The 3,288-nt window shown below is 39.6% G+C and overlaps 1 annotated feature.

Moving 5' to 3' along the window:
- Positions 2,111–2,676: an enhancer, noted in NCBI's record as "OCT4-NANOG hESC enhancer chr2:180936454-180937019 (GRCh37/hg19 assembly coordinates)". NCBI's record gives its function as "activates a minimal SCP1, AML or CMV promoter by ChIP-STARR-seq in primed H9 embryonic stem cells {active_cell/tissue: H9 hESC(primed)}" and the evidence as "EXISTENCE:reporter gene assay evidence [ECO:0000049][PMID:30033119]".

Consider the following 3,288-nt stretch of genomic DNA (forward strand, 5'->3'; position numbering starts at 1 on the left):
TCATCCATTCAAATATTTACTGAATACCTATTATGTGAAGTATTGCTCTAGGCACTGGGGATACGTCAGTGAACTAAAGATAGTCTTAAATCCCTGCCCTGAGGAGCTTATATTCTAATAGGGAAAGAAACATGATGAACAATGAACATATTTTTTTTGAGGGTTCCATGATCACTCAAGTTTCTCTTGCTTGGAAGACTCAGAGGACACAGAGGTAATTCTATTCACAGCTATGGATTCATATCAGGATCTGCAAGAAGAAAAGACAACAGTCAGACCCTGTAGGAGTTCAGACACAGCCTCCCAACATTCTCTCCCCCAGGGGTTGCCTAGTGGGAGGGGTAGAATAGGTGGGAGGTACAAGGTGTTACACAGGACCCACTTCCTGCTGTAGCAATGAAATGTAGCAACGCATGCTGGGTGGCATTGTTTCCTCCCAGATAATCCCACTTGAGACTGAGTGCAGAGTTTTTATTAGGGGCTCATTATGTAGGCATTCTTTGCCTGTGCAACCAGCCACAATTACTGAGATTCCAGACTCCCTGAAGGAAAGTAGATGTTCACCACAAATCATTGTTTTTACAAACAGCTCAGGCAAACGTTGCTCAGTGCCTCAGGCTCACAAAGCAGCCTTGTCAGTTAGTAAAACAGCATTCAAAAATTCAAGTTCCTAGGCTCAGCCAAGGGTTAGCCCCCACCAAGCAAGTCTTTCTGAAGGACAGTATCAGGTCTTCTTTGTCAACTGTTTCCTGTACAATAACATAATATTACAGTTTAATATAATGTCACAAAACAAAGCAGGATAAGAGGGCATTGGAGGTGCCAGGCGGGGAGGCAGTGGGAGATTATAATTTTAGATAGCCTTTCAAGGAAGGCTTCTTTTGAGAAGTTTACTTGAACAAAGGCATAGAGGAGGTGAGGCAGTGGGCCATGTGGATAGCTACAGAAAGAGCCGTCTACAAAGGAATCATGGTGGGAGACATGTATGCTATGTTCAAAGTTCCTGGAACAGAGTGTAAATGAGATGTGGTCAAAAAGGCAGAGTTTTGATTTTCATTTAATGAAGCTTTTCATATGCTAGTGTTTATCCTTACGTGGAGATGTCTATTAGTGGGAATTGCAATTGGTTCTAGTGAGATTGTATGACTTTCTAATGAAAGTTTTACTTCCAAACAAAGAAGAGGAGAAAATTTTACACTTAAAACTTTTTTATTTTGATGGATTAAAGGTTGTTTTGCCTAGACGGTGAGGGGGGAGAATGAGATTGGGGGCTGTTTAGAGCCAGAGGCGGTATCATAATGCATTACTTAATTGTTATGGCAAATGAGATCTCTTTCATTGCCTTCCCCGAGTGGGACCCCCAGCACTCCTTGTGCTGACTCCCATTGCGCTCTCTGGAATTGAAGGAGGGCTGACCTTTGCCCCTCAAAACTGCCCTTAGGACCAGTCCTCACATCAAGTTCCTGAGCTACAAGATTGGAGTTCCAGTGTCCTGAGGAAAACATAGACCTGGTCAGAAAATGAGTTTCAGATCTCTGCTTATTTGTGCCAGTCTGGAGTGAACTAGGGTAATGCCCTGTTTCTCTCATTGGCAACACTGCCCTCATTTGGGGTCTTTTATGGCAATTCCCTTTTGGATTTCAAGATTTACATTTTAACATGGGTTTTTCAGCCAGGGCTGGTCTGTAGGTGACAATCTCCACCTTTAGGATATATCTAGGAACCTCCTTCAATAGATGGGTGTAATGCTATAATGGGAAGTCCTCTAAGGGTGGAATCCTCACCTGGAGGGAGTGCTGTAATGAATAATGCCTGCTGTGGCACAGGGGGAAAGAACAGGTATTCATCATCTCTGTTCTAGGCCTACTAAAAAGCATGACTACAATTGCAGTTGCAGGCACTGTTAAAAGCAAATTGAGGAATTCTGAGAACTAGAGAATAAGCTATTGTGGTAGTCCTCAAATGATACCACACAACCACCATTACAGTATTATATCTAAGTTGTGTATAACACCAGCAGCAGCACTAAGCTTTTTTGTAGTTAGTTCAGAAAGCCTTGATTTCATATAACTGGACCCCATCACCCAGTAATTGGGAAAGAGATCTAAGTCCCTGCAACCACTAAGGAACAGCACAGGGCTCAAAGAGAGGCAGTTTATAGTGATATGTAAGAGATCTAGAAGGAAATATTAAAAACCAGTAGTAAGTCTGAGATTTTGCTCTAGTTATCTGTAGTTAGCACTTGGGAGAAATTTGGGTTAGAAAGAACATTCCTGGGGACACATGTTTATGGTAACCTAAGTCAAGTGCATAAGTCTTAAGCTTATGCACATGTCCTAACTTACAAGCCCCTTAAGGGCTGCGACCGTGTGTTACCTTTGTTCCGGTTCCCAACCAGGGCCTCTGTGGGTAGTCAATAGACATTTGAATGGTAAGCTCTTGTCAGTGAATGCCATGGCTTTTAAAGTTTGAATTAATAGCTTGGTTCAGGCATTTTTTCCACACAGAGTTCAGAAATATACTATGGAAAGATTGTTGCTCCCAGGTCAGCCTTTTTAGTCACATCAAAAAATAGTATAGCACCAAGATTTTAAATGTGAAGTCCCTCATCAGAAATTTCTGGAAAGTAATGTATCCCTTGCTGGAAAGTTGTGTTAAATGAGAATTCAGTTTTGGCACTTTGCTGAAACATGATGTTAGTTTCCTTTTCTCCTTTCAAACATGACAACTTATGAAAAAATATAGCATAATCTACAAGACAAGAATAAGATAATAAAATTCAAAATGGCTTGAAGTTTATTAAGGTTGATTACTCTTGCCTAAAATATACTTTTGTTGTTTGTCTGTTTTAAAGTAGTTCAAATGAGGCTAATAATCTAAACTTTTTCAATTCATTTTGGCACAAATAGAGATAGTTTGCTTGTTATATCCTTACTCTCTGGGATCCTATTTTCTAGTTTAGTTTGACTCTGGAAAAAGCTTTATGGTCTAATCTAATGTGCCTTTTGAGAACTAATAGGAAACATGGATTTCAGAGAAGAATTCTGTGAACATTTTGACCATTAGTTCTGTATTACTCTTAAAAAGACACCAGTATGTATGCAAATCTTTAAGATAATTAAAATGTTGACCATTTCCTAACATTTGTAGGATTGACAGAAAATTATACTGATAATAAAAAAATATGGTTCTTTTTGCTTTTATGTCATAGACAATATGCTTCTTTATTTACAGCTAGGAAAATACAACATAAGCTGAATGGTGAAATTTCTATAGATATTCAGCCTC

This window comes from Homo sapiens, chromosome 2 (genome assembly GCF_000001405.40).
Source record: "Homo sapiens chromosome 2, GRCh38.p14 Primary Assembly".
NCBI classification, from domain to species: Eukaryota; Metazoa; Chordata; class Mammalia; order Primates; family Hominidae; genus Homo; species Homo sapiens.